This window comes from Homo sapiens, chromosome 10, assembly GCF_000001405.40.
Source record: "Homo sapiens chromosome 10, GRCh38.p14 Primary Assembly".
Taxonomy (NCBI): domain Eukaryota; kingdom Metazoa; phylum Chordata; class Mammalia; order Primates; family Hominidae; genus Homo; species Homo sapiens.
In genome coordinates, this window is record NC_000010.11 from 45,565,496 (window position 1) to 45,584,706 (window position 19,211).

General features: G+C 39.4%; 1 protein-coding gene across 12 annotated transcripts in view, besides 1 other annotated feature; it reads right to left on the reverse strand.

Annotated features, from left to right (window-relative positions):
* Positions 1–19,211, reverse strand: part of MARCHF8 (membrane associated ring-CH-type finger 8) — a 140,323-nt gene that overhangs the window by 110,911 nt on the left and 10,201 nt on the right. For 3 of the 12 annotated variants that reach the window (XM_047424766.1, XM_047424767.1, XM_047424763.1), the window contains exon 1: positions 15,276–15,369. The exons of the other annotated variants lie outside the window; for them this stretch is intronic. The gene's annotated coding sequence lies outside the window, so the exon portion shown is untranslated. Of the gene's footprint in view, positions 1–15,275; positions 15,370–19,211 lie in introns of those variants that run through there. 12 annotated transcript variants of the gene reach the window in all.
* Positions 9,357–10,017: an enhancer, noted in NCBI's record as "OCT4-NANOG-H3K27ac hESC enhancer chr10:46070300-46070960 (GRCh37/hg19 assembly coordinates)". NCBI's record gives its function as "activates a minimal SCP1, AML or CMV promoter by ChIP-STARR-seq in naive and primed H9 embryonic stem cells {active_cell/tissue: H9 hESC(naive and primed)}" and the evidence as "EXISTENCE:reporter gene assay evidence [ECO:0000049][PMID:30033119]".

The window sequence follows — 19,211 nt, forward strand, 5'->3', positions numbered from 1 at the left end:
TGTGTTATTGCAATTCTTAATTTTATGAGAAGTGGTATGTTAATTCTAAGTAGGCAAGGATAAGGATGCAACTGCAAAAAAATAAAAAAAAAAAGTCATTACATGGAATACTAAAAAATATTCAATTAGCCCTAAAGTAGAAAAAGAGTAGCAGGAAAAAAAAAGGACACCAGAAGACAAACAGCAAACTAGTAGACCTAAACCCAACTACAGTGAATTCTCCTTATTCATAGTAGTTATGCTCTATAAAGTCATCATGAACACTGAGTTACCAAATATGGAACCACTGCTCTTGGGAAAATAGTATTAAGTCCGTGCAAGCCTCTGGTCCTGCTACCTTAGTCAGCTGAGCAATACATAATCTTGTTTTATATGTGTTTTTGTTTAAAACACCTCATTTAATATCTATTGTTAATTTACTTATATTAAACCCATGGCCAACAGCACTACAATTCTTGTCTGAGTGAAGCTTATCTAATACATGTATTTTCTCCATTGGCACATCACAGCCTCTTGCACTTGGGATCACCAGGTGGCACATCGGCCCTACACTTGAGGGTCATTTTAAACAGCAAAGTCACCCCAAAAGAAGTATAAAAATGTGGAAAATGTGGCACTGAACAGACTGGAAAAGAACCCTTTCTTAGATTTCTGTGGGCACACAGTAGGTGTATATATTTATGAGGTACATTAGATGTTTTCATACAGGTAAGCAATGTGAAGTAAGTACATCATGAAGAATAGGGTATCCATACCCTAAAGCGTTTATCCTCTGAGTTTCAAACAATCCAATTATACTCTAAGTTATTTTAAAATGTGCAATTATTATTGACTATAACCACTTTATTGTGCTATCAAACAGTAAGTCTTATCCATTCTATTTTTTTTTGTACCCATTAACAATCCTACTTTCCCTTCAGCACCCCACTACCCTTCCTAGCCTCTGGTAACCACCCTTTTACTCTCTACGTCCATGAGTTCAATTGTCTTGATTTTTAGATCCCACAAATAAGTGAGAACACGCAAGGCTTGTCTTTCTGTGCCTGGCTTATTTCACTTAACATAATGATCTCCAGTTCCATCCATATTGCTGCAAATGACTGGATCTCATTATTTTTGACAGCTGAATAGTAAGTACTCCACTGTGTATCACATTTTCTTTATCCATTCATCTGCTGATGAACACTTAGGTTGCTGGCAAATCTTAGCTATTGTAAACAGTGCTGCAACAAAAACAGGAGTGCAGGTATCTCTTTGATATATTGATTTCTTTCTGGCGGGGGGAGGGGGGGAGGGTATATACCTAGCAGTGGGATTGCCAGATCATACGATAGGTCAATTTTTAGTTTTTTGAGGAACCTCCAAACTGTTCTCCATAGTGGTTATACTAATTTCCATTCCTACCAACAGTGTATGAGGGTTTCCTTTTCTCCACATCCTCACCAGCATTTATTATTGCCTGTCTTTTGGATATGACATATTAATTAGGTGAGATATCTCATTGTAGTTTTGATTTGCATTTCTCTGATGATTGATGTTGAGCACCTTTTCATATACCTGTTTGCCACTTGTACATCTTCTTTTGAGAATGTCTACTAGAATCTTTTGCCCATTTTTAATTGGATTATTACATTATTTTTTCCTATAGAGTTAGTAGAACTCCTTATATACTCTGGTTATTAAGCCCTTGCCAGCTGGGTAGTTTGCAAATATTTTCTCCCATTCTGTACGTTGTCTCTTCCTTTTGTTGACTGTATCCTTCGCTGTGCAGAAGCTTTTTAACTTGATGTGACCCCATTTGTCCATTTTTGCTTTGGTTGCCTGTACTTGTGGGTTATTGCTCAAGGCATTTTTGCCCAGAACAATGTCTTGAAGATTTTCCTAATGTTTCCTTGTAGTAGTTTCATAGTTTGAGGTCTTAGCTTTAAGCCTTTAACCCATTATGATTTGATTTTTTATACAGTAAGAGATAGGGGTCTAGTTTAATTCTTCTGCATATGGATATCCAGTTTTCTCAGCACGATTTATTGAAGAGACTGTCTTTTCCCCAGAGTATGTTCTTGGCTCCTTTGTCAAAAATGAGCTCACTGTACGTGTGTGGATTTATTTCTGGGTTCTCGGTTCTCTATTCTGTTCCATTGGTCTATGGATCTGTTTTCATGCCAGTACCATGCTGTTTTGGTTACTGTATCTCCATAGTATAATTTGAAGTCAGGTAATGTAATTCCTCCAGTCTTGTTCTTTTGCTTAGAACGGCTTTGGCTATTCTGGGTCTTCTGTTGTTCCATAAAAATTTTGGGATTGTTTTTTCTGTTTCTGTGAAGAATGTCATTGATATTTTGGTAGGGTTTGCATTTAATCTGTAGACTGCTTTGGGTAGTATGGACATTTTAACAATACTGATTCTTCCAATCCATGAACATGTAATATTTTTCCATTTTTTGGTGTCCTCTTCAATTTCTTGCATCAGTGTTTTATAGTTTTCATTATAGAGACCTTTCATTTATTTGGGTAATTCCTAGGTGCTTTATTTTATGTGTGGCTTCCAAATGGGATACTTTTTTATTTCTTTTTCACATTGTTCACTGTTGACAAATAGAAATGCTACTGATTTTGGTACGTTAATTTTGTATCCTGCAGCTTCACTGAATTTACCAGTTCTAATAATTTTCTTGTGGAGTCTTTAGGTTTTTCCAAATATAAAATTACACCATCTGTAAACAACGATAATTTGACTTCTTCCTTTCCAATCTGGATACCCTTTATATCCTTGTCTTGTCTGACTGCTCTAGCTAGGACTTCTAGTACTGCATTGAATAACAGTGGTGACAGTGGGCATCCTTGTCATATTCCAGATCTTGGAGCAAGGGTGTCCAATTTTCGGTTTCCCTGGACCACACTGGAAGAACTGTCTTGAACCACACATAAAATACACTAACACTAAGCCAGGTGCAGTGGCTCACACCCGTAATCTCAGCACTTTGGGAGGCCGAGACGGGCAGATCACGAGGTCAAGAGATCATGACCATCCTGGCCAACGTGGTGAAACCCCATGCCTACTAAAAATACAAAAATTAGCTGGGTGTGGTGGCACGTGCCTGTAATCCCAGCTACTCGGGAGACTGAGGCAAGAGAATCACTTGAACCCAGGAGGCGGAGGTTGCAGTGAGTTGAGATGGCACCACTGCACTCCAGCCTGGTGACAGAGCGAGACTGTTTCAAAAAAAAAAAAAAAAAAAAAAACCACTAACACTAATGATAGCTGGTGAGCTTTAAAAAAATTGCAAAACAAGCCGGGTGTGCTGGCTTACACCTGTAATCCCAACACTTTGGGAGCCCAAGGCAGGTGGATCACGAGGTCAGGAGATCGAGACCATCTTGGCTAACACGGTAAAACCCTGTCTCTACTAAAAATACAAAAAAGCCGGGTGTGGTAGTGGGCGCCTGTAGTCCGAGCTACTCGGGAGGCTGAGGCAGGAGAATGGCATGAACCCGGGAGGCGGAGCTTGCAGTGAGCCGAGATGGCGCCACTGCACTCCAGCCGGGGCGACAGAGCAAGACTCCATCTCAAAAAAAAAAAAAAAAAAAAAATTGCAAAAAAAAACCACATCATAATGTTTTAAGAAAGTTTACAAATTTGTATTGGACTGAATGCAGCCCTTAAGCCATGGATTGAACAAACCTGCCTTAGACAAAAGGCTTTCAGTTTTTCCCCATGCAGTGTGATATTAGCTGTGAGTCTGTCATATATGGCTTTAATTACGTTGAGGTATGTTCCCTCTATCCCCAGTTTTTTGAGGGTTTTTCAACATAAAGAGATGTTAAATTTCATCAAATTTTTTTCAGCACTAATTGAAATGATTATATGGTTTTTATCCTTCATTCTGTTGATATCATGTACCATACAGACTGATCTGCATATGCTGAAGCATCCTTGCATCCCAGGGATAAATCCCACTTGGTCATGTTGAATGATCTTTCTAATGTATTGCTCAATTTAGTTTACTAGTATTTTGTTGAGGATTTTTGCCTCAATATTCATCAGAGATATTGGCCTGCAGTTTTCTTTTTTTGATGTGTGGAAAAGGACCCTTGTTTTTCAAAGTATGAGAGCTGAAACAGGAGGGCAGAGCGTCACCTTATTTGACCTCAGTTGGGAAAAAATGTGTGAAGATGACTCAAATTTTTCGCTACTCTGTACATGTCTATGAATGACCACGGGAACACTTCAAGTATTGATTTAGGGGTTACAAATAAAATTTGCAATTTTCACATGTATGGAATCCTCAAATAATGAGGATCAATTGTGTATCAAGGAGACTAAATATTCCAATTAAAATGTAGCTTTTTTTCAGATTGGGGAGAAGAAAAAAACAAGACCCAATTATGTCTACAAGAGATACCTTTTGAATATAAAGACACGGGTTAAAATAAAGAGGATGGAAAGATAAACCACACAGCACTAATAATAGAGTGAAAAGCACAACACTTTCCACAACTGACACAAGATAAAACTTTTAAAATCTAAACAGCCATGTATTTATTAAGTTAAAATACTCAGCCTACCCTTTTACAAAAAGAAGACTCAAAACTCAGATGGTTTCACTGGTGAAGTCTATCAGACACATGTGGAAGAAAATAAAGGAGTAAACAATTCCCAATTCATTTTAGAAGGTTTGCATAAACCCATTACCAAAATATTTTTCATTTATAAAAAAACTATAAAACATGACCATAGGTGATTAACACAGATGAAAACATCCTCAGCAAAACAATGGAAAGATCAAAATCAGTAACTTACAAAAAGAATAATATATCATGATACTGCAGTATTTATCCCAGGAATATAAAATTTGGATTCACATATAAAAGGCAATTTCATTTACTATAATACCAGATGCAATGAAAGCATTTGACGAAGTTCCATATCCATTCCGGGTTAAAAAAAATAAAAATTTTAGCACACCTACAAACAGAAAGAAACTTCCTCTATCATATAAACCTTCAGCAAATAATGAAATTCTGAGGACTTTCCCTCAAAGATTGGCAACATGGCAAAGATAGTGATAGAAATCGCAGCAAGTCTACTCAACATTATATTATATAGAAGATCCTAGCCAATGTAATAGGCAAGGAAAAGAAATACTACGCATAAATATTTGAAACGAAGTTATAAAACTTTCTTTTCAGAGGCAATATAATTGTTAACAAACAAATTTTTAAGAATTATGTCAATCTAACAAGATTCATTTAAGTAAGTTTGGCAAAGTTGCAGGATGGCAGGTCAATAAACAATTGTATTTCTATATTCCACCAACAAAATGAAATTTTAAAAACGTTTCTCAATACCAAAAAGCAGATTACTTAAGAATAAACTTAACAAAAGATATGGAAGCCCCATATACTGAAAACCACAAAACACTGCTGAAAGAAATACCTAAGTAAATGAAGATATATACCATGTTTGTAATTCGAAAATTTCAACACTGTCAAGATGTTGATTCTGCCCAAATCACAATTCCAACCATATTCCCACCAGGCACTTTTATAGAAATTAGGCTTTTGATTCTAAAAGCCTATGAAATATAAAAGTATATGAAATATGAAAGTATATGAAAATTCAAAAGACCTAGAACGGCCAAAACAATCTTAAAAAAGAACAAAGTTGAAGGAGTTAATGTCAGGCCTCTGAGCCCAAGCTAAACTATCATATCCCCTGTGACCTGCACCTATACATCAAGATGGCCTGAAGTAACTAAAGAATCACAAAAGAAGTGAAAATAGCCTGTTTCTGCCTTAACTGATGACATTACCTTGTGAAATTCCTTCTCCTGGCTCATCCTGGCTCAAAAGCTCCCCCACTGAGCACCTTGTGACCCCGACCCCTGCCCACCAAAGAACAACCCCCTTTAACTGTAATTTTCCTTTACCCACCCAAATCCTATAAAATGGCCCCACCCTTTCTCCCTTTGCTGACTCTCTTTTTGGACTCAGCCCACCTGCACCCAGGTGATTAAAAAGCTTTATTGCTCACACAAAGCCTGTTTGGTGGTCTCTTCACAGACGTGAGTGAAATTTGGTGCCGTGACTCGGATCGGCGGACCTCCCTTGGGAGATCAATCCCCTGTCCTCCTGCTCTTTGCTCTGTGAGAAAGGTCCACCTACGACCTCTGGTCCTCTGACCAACCAGCCCAAGCAACATCTCACCAATTTTAAATTGGGTAAGCGGCCTCTTTTTACTCTCTTCTCCAACCTCTCTCACTATCCCTCAATCTCTTTCTCCTTTCAATCTTCGCGCCACACTTCAATCTCTCCCTTCTCTTAATTTCAGTTCCTTTCCTTTTCTGGTAGAGACAAAGGAGACATGTTTTATCCGTGGACCCAAAACTCCAGCACCAGTCATAGACTCAGGAAGACAGTCTTCCCTTGGTGTTTAATCACGCGGGGACACCTACCTGATTATTCACCCACATTTCATTGGTGTCTTATCACCGCGGGGACGCCTGCCTTTGTCATTCACCCACATTCCCTTGGTGGCAAGTCAATTGCAGGGACACCTGCTTTGGCTGCTCACCCACCCCTTCTCCACTTTCCTGGGGGGCAAGCACCCCTTACCCCTTCTCTCTGTGTCCCCACCCCTTCTCCACTTTCCTGGGGGGCAAGCACCCCTTACCCCTTCTCTCTGTGTCCCCACCCCTTCTCCACTTTCCTGGGGGGCAAGCACCCCCTCACCCCTTCTCTGTGTCTCTACCCTCTCTTTTCTCTCCACTTTCCTGGGGGGCAAGCACCCCCACCCCTTTTCTCCATGTCTCTACCCTCTCTTTTCTCTGGACTTGCCTCCTTCACTATAGGCAACCTTCCACCCTCCATTCCTCCTTCTTCTCCCTTAGCCTGTGTTCTCAAGAACTTAAAACCTCTTCAACTCACACCTGACCTAAAACCTAAATGCCTTATTTTCTTCTGCAATATTTTCTTCTGCAATGCCACTTAACCCCAATACAAACTCGATAACGGCTCTAAATGGCCAGAAAACGGCATTTTCGATTTCTCCATCCTATAAGACCTAAATAATTCTTGTTGTAAAATAGGCAAACGGTCTGAGGTGCCTGACGTCCAGGCATTCTTTTACACATCGGTCCATCCCTAGTCTCTGTTCCCCAATGCAACTCGTCCCAAATCTTCCTTCTTTCCCTCCCGCCTGTCCCTTCAGTCCCAACCCCAAGCGTCTCTGAGTCTTTTGAATCTTCCTTTTCTACTGACCCATCTGACCTCTCCCCTCCTCCCCAGGCTGCTTTTCTGGTAGAGACATAGGAAACGTGTTTTATCCGTGGACCCAAAACTCCAGCGCTGGTCATGGACTTGGGAAGACAGTCCCAAGTCTTTCCATTTTTTCCTCAGCCTCCGCCCCGCCACCCTACAATCCTTTTATCACCTCCCCCTCCTCACACCTGGTCCAGCTTACAGTTTCGTTCTGCGACTGGCCCTCCCCCACCTGCCCAGCAATTTCCTCTTAAAAAGGTGGCTGGAGCTAAAGGCATAGTAAAGGTTAATGCTCCTTTTTCTTTATCGGACCTCTCCCAAATCAGTTAGCGTTTAGGCTCTTTTTCATCAAATATGAAAAACCCAGCCCAGTTCATGGCCCATTTAGCAGCAACCCTTAAGACTCTTTACAGCCCTAGACCCTGAAGGGTCAGAAGGCCATCTCATTCTAATTATGCATTTTAACACCCAGTCAGCTCCTGACATTAAATAAAACTCCTAAAATTAAATTCCGGCCCTCAAACCCCACAACAGGACTTAATTAACCTCTCCTTCAAGGTGTACAATAATAAAGTAGAGGCAGCCAAGTAGCAATGTATTTCTGAGTTGCAATTCCTTGCCTCCACTGTGAGAAAAACCCCAGCCACATCTCCAGCACACAAGAACTCCAAACACCTGAACTGCAGCTGCCAGGGGTTCCTCCAGAACCTCCTCCCCCAGGAACTTGCTTCAGGTGCCGGAAATCTGGCCACTGGGCGAAGGAATGCCTGAAGCCCGGGATTCCTCCTAAGCCTTGTCCCATCTGTGCGGGACCCCACTGGAAATCCAACTCGCCCAGCAGCCACTCCCAGAGCCCCTGGAACTCCGGCCCAAGGCTCTCTGACTGACTCCTTCCCAGATCTTCTCAGCTTCGTGGCTAAAGACTGATGCTGCCCGATCACCACAGAAGCCTCCTGGACCATCACAGATGCTTTAGGTAACTCTTAAAGTGGAGGGTAAGTCCATCCCCTTCTTAATCAATACAGAGGCTACCAACTCCACATTACCTTCTTTTCAAGGGCCTGTTTCCTTTGCCTCCATAACTGTTGTGGGTATTGAAGACCACGCTTCTAAAACCTCTTACACTCCCCAACTCTGGTGCCAACTTGGACAATACTCTTTTAAGCACTCCTTTTTAGTTATCCCCACCTGCCCAGCTCCCTGAATAGGTCAAAACATTTTAACTAAATTATTTGCTTCCCTGACTATTCCTGGGCTACAGCCACACCTCATTGTTGCCTTTTCCCCCAGTTCAAAGCCTCCTTCACACATCCTCCCCTTGTATCTCCCCACCTTAAACCGTAGTATAGTATACCTCTACTCCCTCCTTGGCAACCGATCATGCACCTCTTACCATCCCATTAAAACCTAGTCACCCTTACCCCACTTAATGCCAATATCCCATCCCACAGCACGCTTTAAAAGGATTAAAGCCTGTTATCACTCACCTGTTACAGCATGGACTTTTAAAGCCTATAAACTCTCCTTACAATTCCCCCATTTTACCTGTCCAAAAACCAGACAAGTCTTACAGGTTAGTTCAGGATCTGCATCTTATCAACCAAATTGTTTTGCCTATCTACCCCGTGGTGCCAAACCCATATACTCTCCTATCCTCAATACCTCCCCTCCACAACCCATTATTCTGTTCTGGATCTCAAACATGCTTTCTTTACTAGTCCTTTGCACCCTTCATCCCAGCCTCTCTTCGCTTTCACTTGGACTGACCCTAACACCCATCAGGCTCAGCAAATTACCTGGGCTGTACTGCCACAAGGCTTCACAGACAGCCCCCATCACCTCAGTCAAGCCAGTGTTCTTACACAAGAGCTGGGACCGCGCCCTGTAGCCTTTTTATCCAAACAATTTGACCTTACTGTTTTAGCCTAGCCCTCCTGTCTGCATGTGGCGGCTACCGCTGCCTTAATACTTTCAGAGGCTTTCAAAATCACAAACTATGCTCAACTCACTCTCTACAGTTCTCATAACTTCCAAAATCTATTTTCTTTCTCACACCTGATGCATATACTTTCTGCCCACCCCACTACCTCTCAGCAAGCCAAACTCATTGCCTTAACTTGAGCCCTCACTCTTCCAAAAGGACTACACATCAATATTTATACTGACTCTAAATATGCCTTCCATATCCTGCACCACCATGCTGTTATATAGGCAAAAAAAAAAAAAAATTCCTCACTATGCAAGGGTCCTCCATCACTAATACCTCTTTAATAAAAACTCTTCTCAAAGCCGCTTTACTTCTGAAGGAAGCTGGGGTCATTCACTGCAAGGGCCATCAAAAGGCATCAGATCCCATTGCTCAGGACAACGCTTATGCTGATAAGGTAGCTAAAAAAGCAGCCATCAAAAAGTATCAGATCCCATCGCCCAGGACAATGCTTATGCTAATAGGGCAACTAAAAAAAGCAGCCAGCGTTCCAACTTCTATCTCACAGAGCAGTTTTTCTCCTTCTCATCTGGCCACTCCCACCTACTCCCCCACTGAAACTTCCACCTATCAATCTCTTCCCACACAAGGCAAGGGTTTTTGGACCAAGGAAAATATATCCTTCCAGCCTCACAGGCCCACTCTATTCTGTCGTCTTTTAATACCTGTTTTTCTCCTCTTATTCTGTTTAGTTTTTCAATTCATACAAAACCATATCCAGGCCATCACCAATAATTCTATACGACAAATGCTCCTTCAAACAACCCCACAATATCACCTCTTACCACAAAATCTTCCTTCAGCTTAATCTCTCCCACTCTAGGTTCCCATGCCGCTCCTAATCCCGCCCTGAGAAACATCGCCCATTATCTATCCATACCAGCCCCAAAAATTTTCGCTACCCCAACACTTTACCACTATTTCGTTTTATTTTTCTTATTAATATAAGACTACAGGAATGTTAGGCCTCTGAGCCCAAGCTAAGCCATCATATGCCCTGTGACCTGCACATATATATCCGGATGGCCTGAAGTAACTGAAGAATCACAAAAGAAGTGAAAATAGCCTGTTCCTGCCTTAACTGATGACATTACCTTGTGAAATTCCTTCTCCTGGCTCATCCTGGCTCGAAAGCTCCCCCAATGAACACCTTGTGACCCCCACCAAAGAACAACCCGCTTTGACTAATTTTCCTTTACCTACCCAAATCCTATAAAATGGCCCCACCCCTTTCTCCCTTTGCTGACTCTTTTCGGACTCAGACCGCCTGCACCCAGGTGATTAAAAAGCTTTATTGCTCACACAAAGCCTGTTCCGTGGTCTCTTCACAGGGACATGAGTGAAATTTAAACTATCTGACTTCAAGGCTTCTTACAGAGCTACAATAATCAGGAGAGTACTGTGCTGGCCTAAAGACAAACAAACAGATCAAGAGAACAGAATACAAAGTCCAGAAACAGACTCACACATATACAGTTAAATGATTTTCAGGGGAGGCATCAAAGCAATTCAATGGGGAATTGCTTTTCAACAAATAGTGCTGGATCAGTTGGATATCCAATACAGAACAATGATGAACTTCAACCCCATCTCACACCATGAATAAAAAATAATTTGAGATTGATCATAGATCTGAACCTAAAGCCAAAACTATAAAACTTCTAGAAATAAATACAGCATATCTTTGCACAGAGTGTAGGCAAGATGCAAGAAAAGCATTTGATGAAATTCAACCTAAGGAAGATGCAAGAAGTACCACCCCCTCATGGTGTTAGAATAACACTGGTAGAATCAATATGAAATCATATTGTTAATAGTTGTTAATATATGTGTGTATACATAGATGTTGCTAGGGTATGAACGTGTCCCCAAAATTCTCATGTTGAAACTTAATCACGCCCTGGTGTCCTGGCTCAAGCCTGTAATCCTAGCACTCTGGGAGGCCAAGGCAGGAGAATTGTTTGAGCTCAGGAATACAAAACTAGCCTGGACAACACAGTGAGGCTTCATCTCTACTACAAATAAAAATTAAAAAAAAAAAAAAAAAACTAGCCAGGCATGGTGGCAAGCACCTTAAAGCATCCCAGCTTAAAAGTCCCAGCTACGCACGAAGCTAAGGTGGGAAGATCACTGGAGCTCAGGAAGTCAAGGCTACAGTGAGCTACAATTGCACCACTGCACTCCAGCCTGGGTGATAAAGTGAGACTCTGTCTCTAAACAAAAAGAGAAAAGAAAAAAAAAAAAAAAAGAAACTTAATTGCCAATGCTAATATTAAGACTTGAGGACTTTATGAGGTGATTAAATCATGAGGGCAGAGACTTCATGAATGGGATTAGGGACTCATCAAAGAGCCAGAGGGTGAAATAAGCCAGGCACAGAAAGAGAAACATCACATGTTCTCACTTATTTGTGGGATCTAAAAATCAAAACAATTGTACTAATGAACATAGACAGTAGAAGGATGGTTACTGGAGGCTGGGAAGTTAATGGGGGGCTGTGGGGAAGGTGGGGATGGTTAATGGGCACAAAAAAAAAATTGAAAGGATGAATAAGACTCACTATTTGATAGAACAACAGGATGACTACAGTCAATAGTAACAATTATACATTTTAAAATAAGAGTGTAATTGGATTGCTTGTAACACAAAGGATAAATGCATGAGGGGATGTATACCCTATTTGCCGCGATATGATTATTTCACATTGCATGCCTGTATCAAAATATCTCATGCACCTCACAAATATATATATACCTACTATGTGCCCACAAAAATTAAAAATTAAAAATATTATTTAAAAAAGGGCTGGAGGAGCTAGTCAGCCCTTTTGCCCTTCCACTTTTCCATCACACGAAGATACAGCAAGAAGGCCCTCACCAGAGAATGAATGCTGGTGCCTTGAACTTCCCAGCTGCTAGAACCATAAGAAATCAATTTCCACTGTTTATAAATTACCCAGTCTCAGGTATTTTGTTATAGCAGCATAACGAACTAAGATATATAAATTTAAAATAAGTATCTGTAATCCTACCACTTTAAGGAGGCCAAAGCAGAGGACTGCCTGTGGCTAGGAGTTAAGACCAGCCTGGAGAATACAGCAAGATCCCATCTCTACTAAAAATTTTAAAAATAGCTGGGCATGGTGGCCCATGTCTGTAGTCCTAGCTACTTGGGAAACCAAGGTAGGGGGATTTGCTTGAGCCCAGGAGTTCGAGGTTACAGTGAGCTATGATCATACCACTGCATTCCAGCCTAGGAGACAGAGTGAGACCCTGTCTCTAAAAAAATTGTTTAATAAAAAATTAAAATATGGATATACATATATCTATTTACACACAAACAAACATATCCTAGCTGTGGCCACTGAGTAGGCCTAGAAATAATGACACATCAGTCACAATAAGCACATCATATATCCAGATCTTGATTTCCAAATACCATTTTTTCCTCACTAATAGTAACAATACTCCTCGAAGAAAAGCTGATTTGAGGGGTGGGCCATACAAAATGAGCCCAGATCATCTTGTTGCACCAGAAAGTAAATAGGTACTCAAAGAATTCTGGAGACATATGAAAACACAGAAGCCAGTTTGAAAGAGTTTACACAGACCAAATTTGGGATGATTTTAGTATCAAGATAATAACAGTAATGAGTTACAGACCACTAAATAAGAATATGTATATGAATCATTCAAATAAATAATTGAACAAATAAATAAATGGGATGTGGAGGGAGGAGGGAAAGGTCTTCCTTACAGTAGAATGCCAATCAATAGCTACAGAAGGAAGCATGCAGTTGGAAAGTCATCACTGGACGCTAAAACTAGTGGGTGAAAGTTTGATGAGGAACAGGATATTAACACATTGTCAACAAATATTAACTTCAAAGAGAAAAACAGTATCATGGCAGTAGAGAAATCTGGCAGATACCAACTAAACCAACTGTTTGATGTTATCAGCAATATTAGAACAAACTGACATCAGGTTGCTCCTAATATGCTGCACTGAGAAAAATAAAAATCACTTTTTTGTTATCCTTGCATAAAATGCATGAACTGAATCTAACCATGAGGAAATTTCAGACAAGTAAAAAGTGAGGGACATTCTAAAAAAATAACTGATCTGTACTCTTCCAAAAGATCAATGTCAAGAATGACAATGAAAGGTTAACAAAGTACTCCAGATTAAAGGAGACTAAAGAAATATGATAATTTCATGGCGATTCAGGACTGGATACTGGACATGGAAAACAAAAGGGCAATAAAGGACATTATAGGGACAACTGTTGAAACTGCACTATGAATTAGATAACAACACCGTACCAATTGTTAAATTTCTTGACTGCTAATTTTACTGTGGTTATGCAAGAGAATACCCTGGCTCTTAGAAATACATGTTGAAGTATTCTTAGGACTTATACAACTTAAACTCAAATGAATCACAAAAAATACATTCACATATATGCATAAAAAGAAAGGGGGAAAGAGTGATAAAGCTAATGAGGTAAAATACAAACAACTGGTGAATCTTAGTAAATTATATGTAGTAATTCTCTATATTCTTTGTGTATTTTTTCTGTAAGTTACACATAAAGCAAAAGACATAACTAGAAAACTAGGTAAGCTTTTTTTTTTTACAAAAATGACAGACAAAAAGTCACTACCTTTCATATATAAACAAGCTATATAAAGCAAATTTCTTTTAAAAAGCACTATAACCCCTCCAAAAGATTAACAGGAAAAGGACATGTACAGCCAACTGCACAAAAGAAGCTAATGAAGTTTTAAAGGAAAGCAAAAACAAAAAGTCAATGAAAGATGAGATGTTTTCCACCTGTTAAATCGGTAATTTTCTTTTTAGAAAACATCAACATTGGCAAGGATGTCCTAAAATGGCCACTCAACACCTTGCTAGTGGAAGCATTAATTAGAATCTTTTAGGAAAGCAGTTCAGCAATATGAATCAAGAGCCTTAAAAATATCCACACCAGGCCAGGCGTGGTGGCTCACGCCTATAATCCCAGCACTTTGGGAGGCAGAGGTGGGTGGATTACCTGAGATCAGGAGTTCGAGACCAGCCTGGCCAACATGGTGAAACCCTGTCTCTACTAAAAATACAAAAGTTAGCCGGACGTGGTGGCGGGCATTGTAATCCCAGCTACTCGGGAGGCTGAGACAGGAGAATTGCTTGAACTCGGGAGGCGGAGGTTGCAGTGAGCCGAGATCATACCACTGCACTCCAGCCTGAAAGACTCCGTCTCCAAAAAAAAAAAAAAAAAAAAAAAAAAAATCCACAGTATTCTACTTCATGACACTATCTGAAAGAAATAATCTAAACTGTGGACTAAAATTTATGCTGAAGATATTCATCAAATGATAACTATAATAGCAAAATTCTTAAAATAATCCACATTAAACAATAGCGAAATCATTACGTAAACAACTTAGGATATAACCACAAAACGCAATATGCAGTCATTAGAAGTTATTTAAAATCAGGAAATATGACATAATAAATGTTAAGAGAATAAAGTTTACAAAATGGGCAGTTAGGATGATCTTAAGTAAAAAAAAAAATTCATAAAGCTCAGAACAGACATATTATAAACAGTGACTGTTTGAAAATGAAAATAAGTAGGGAATATGAACACCTGTCCCAGTCTCCAGTTTATGAGATCTCACCCCTCACCATCTGTGAACTACCACCGCTTACATGATGGTGCCTGTCTCACTCCCTGTGCACTCCAAGTATTTCTTGAGGCCATGGCACCATACCTGGCTGCATTCAGTAAACATTTGCTGCTTCAAATTTACAAACTCTCCCACCTCATTTCATATATGTAAAAAATGTATCTAGCTATTTAAGTCACCTGAAAACTGAAACTATATTGAATATGAAGTTCGTCAAGAACCAGTTTCACTTTTCTTTGCTTCTTTCAAATAAAAACATTAAGGAGGAAACATGCTTGGAGCTTTCGTTAACAACAGACTCCAAGGCAGGCTTGAGACAATATAAAGATACCACATACCTGATTAGTATTGTGCGCTAGGACCACCGGTGGTATTGTCAGTTTATTTTCATGTCAAAGATCATTTGCTTTAGCAGTCTAATCTTAGCTACCACAAAAAAACACACCCATCTGTGTGCTGCCAGAGCTTAGCCCCTACCCAGGGCCACACCTGACTCCAGCTCTGCCCTATTCCCCACTGATTCCACCTTCTACTTGGCAACTTTCTGCCTAATTAGCTAAGCAGAGCACAGTCAGGTAAGAGGAGGCTGTGAGCAAGGCTGGGAACACGGAGAAACCAGACAAGAGTAGGAAGACCTTAACCATGGCAGAGGACCAGCTGAGCGGTATTCGTAAGTCTGTGGTTCTCAACAGGGGCAGTTTATCACCCCAGGGGATTTTGCCAGTGTCTTGGAGATATTTTTAGTTGCCACAATTGTGGTGGTGCTAATGGCACCTAGTAGGAAGAGGCCAGGGATGCTACTGAACATCCTACAATACACAGAACAGTTCCCCACAACAAAGAATTATCCAACCCCAACTGTCAGCAGAGCTAAGGTCAAGAAATCCTACCACAGACTGATGCATCCACTAATACAGTGGAGTCTACTGCACAGTACAATTCAGCAGGAACAAGACACCCAGTGGTTAGAGGAGACCTGAGGTAGTTCAGGAAATGTAAACACACACATTACCTCCTCACTCAGATGCTAAGGTGATCAAAATTCTACCTCAAGAATTGGGAATGAGGGCATTGTAATTAATTAATTAATCAAATAAAACTAGTAAGAATGCTTTTTTCCCCAAGGGCTTGCTCCTATAAATATCTTATATTTCTTCAAAGACTGCTTCACAGCAGAAACTGTAAGAAGATAATACTATCAAAATTGCCCAGACTGGTAAACATCTCCAGAAAACTTGGCAACACACCCACATAATCAATGACAAATTTAATTTAGCTGTGTATCTCAACAGGCCCTTCCTACTAGGTGCCATTAGCACCCCCACAGTTGTGGCAACTAAAAACTCAAACTCAAAGTTCCCAGCTTAGTTTACGGGGAAAGTGTCAAGCTTTCAAAGATCACTCAAAAAGAAGAAAAGGGCTGCTTTCCCAGATGAATCATCAAGAACTACACAAGACTTAAAGGAGTAACATTTTCAAAACTGAGAACAGTACTTAGGCACTTCAACCAAAAAAAAAAAAAAAGCAGATTTTCAAAAAAGTATATGAATCATCATTATTATAATTTGGTTAAAGTAATGACCAATGAGTCACGCCACAATATGTTTTTTAAAATTATTTTAACAACCTTATCATGCCATAATGTCCACCTATGGGAGGCCAAAAGGTTAGAGAAGCCATCCAGTACTATCCCTGGCTGGCTGGGACTTAAATAACTTCAACCTGTCTCTAAAGCATCATTTTGCCTATCTACCTTGACCTCTGTCCTTTCAGTGTTAGGAAATACCCACCACTTAAGGTGGCCCCCTTCAATGTTGGACAGGAATTAACTGTTAGGAGTGTGTCCATTATGCTGAATCCAGAGCACCTCCCGTTCAACTACAGCTATTAGTTTTGAATCACATGAAACCAGCCTAATTATTCTCTATACAGCAGCCCTTCAAGTTTCCATATTATCTTGTCTTTCTCATCCAAGCCTTTTTCTTCTCCAAGTTGTAAAATGCACTCCCCCCACAAGCTGTTACAGTTAGCTATTTAAGTGATACAATTAAGATTAAACAGGAGACCAAAAAAACCAGAATGGCAGAACTGAAAGGAATCAGAGACCAGCCAGTTCAAACCCAATCCCATTTTTATAAATGAGTAAACAAGGCAGAGAGAGGTGAGGCAAGGCTGCTTGCCAGAGGTCAAGCTATTCAGAAAAGTCAGGAGCAGAATTCAAGTTTCCTAACTCTTTCGCCCCTCAGAACTGTATCAAGTTGTACAGATGTTGTGTGAAAGGATTGACAGTTTTTGTTTTATAAAAATATAAATACTGAGAGAAAAGATGATCCATCTACCAAGAATCTGTATTAAAAAGTGATGCAGGTGAAAAAAACTAGGTAACTTAACTTAAAAAATACATAAGAAAGGAAATGTAGTCATAGACTACTACCTGGCTTTGCAGATGAATAGTTAAGTTGTCACTAACTAAATATTTCTTATTGATTTCACTAAAAATACGGATGTAACCACAGTCAGAGAGTGGGAAATGGTAAATGAGGAGTTTAAGATGTCCAAATCCTCACCTATCAAACTGGGAAGGCAATGCATAATATTTAAAGTGGATAAACAAATAACAGTGGAATAAAATGTTTAGAAATATTAAAAATAGGTATTATAACAAGAATAGAGTTTGCCTCTATTTTTCATTGCAAGACTTTATGCTCGCTATTTTTAAACAATGTCCAAGTATTATTTTGATAAAAATTTCAACATTAATTTTAAGATACAGAAAAATAAGGGATCGGTAATAGATAATGTTGTAGGCAAGTGAATAGGGGAAAGAACACCAAAACACCATTAGTGGGAGTACAGACTGAAATAAAAACGGGACAACCAATTGCCACTATCCAATTTAAATCTCCTTTGACCAGGCAATTCCACTTCTAGGGCTCTAGACTAAGAATACACCCATAAATGTTCAAAGATATATATATGAGAATGATCACTGTGACACCATTTTAAAAGATACAAATCAGAGCACACTAAATATCAACTAACAGGGGAAGGGCTGAATAATTCATGAATATATGTACCCATATATTCTTCACACTCATCCCACAAATATTTATTGATTGCTAGGTACTAAGTATAGAATAGTAAATAAAACTCAACCTGCAAAGGAATACTACATCATTATTAAAAGAATGCGGATCTGTATGTATTGATCTAGGTGAAAAAGCATATTTCAAAATATAGTATGTAGTATGATGCTACTTTTATTAAAATACCCAGTATAACTAGATGAGACTTTTTCTTTATGTACTTACAGTATTTGACTTTTTTAGCATTGTGACATTACCTGTGTAGCTCTTTTAAAGACAATAAAGACATATGCTTGTCAGATTGGATAAAAGCAGTAACAAAAGAAAGCAAAAAAGAATGGAGGGAAGGTGATGGCACGCGCCTGCAATCCCAGCTACTCCGGAGGCTGAGGCAGAGAATTGCTTAAACCTGGAGGGGCGGAGGTTGCAGTGAGCCAAGATCGTGCCACTGCACTCCAGCCTGGGTGACAGAGCGAGACTTCATTTCCAAAAAAAAAAAAAAAAAAAAAGGAGGAAAGGAAAGAATCTACTTTTTGTAAGTCTATATAGTAAAACAGGGAAGATGCACATGATTTCCACTTCTAGATTCTACCAACATATATACAATCATATATATATATATATATATATATATATATATATATATATATCAAGAAATTCTCTCACACATTCACAAGAACTAAGAAACAATCTAAATTTTCATCAATGAAAGAATGAACAAATTGTGATCTATTCATACAATAAAACACCATACAGTAGTTATTAAAACTCAAACCACAAAAGCACAAATCTGAGGGAAAATCTCACATGTTAGAGAATACATACAGAATAAAATTATTTATGTAAAACTTTTTAAAAAGCAACAAAATAAAACTATCTTTACTTATGGATAAATATGGACCCACAGATTATGGACCCACAGATTAAAAACACCATGAGATACCACTTCTCAGCCTAAATATCTGACAATATTAAGTGACAATATTAAGGACATGGAACAAGAACTCCAATGTCTGCTAAGGTAAATGCATACTGGTACCACCACTATGGAAAACAACATTATATACAGTGGTAGTCAGAAATCTAAAGATAGTCCTCCAAGATTCCTGCCCCTGGTTATTCAAACACTAATTTGAGTATAGCTGTGAAAGGACCACGGAGATAAAATAGAGTAATCTAGATTATCCC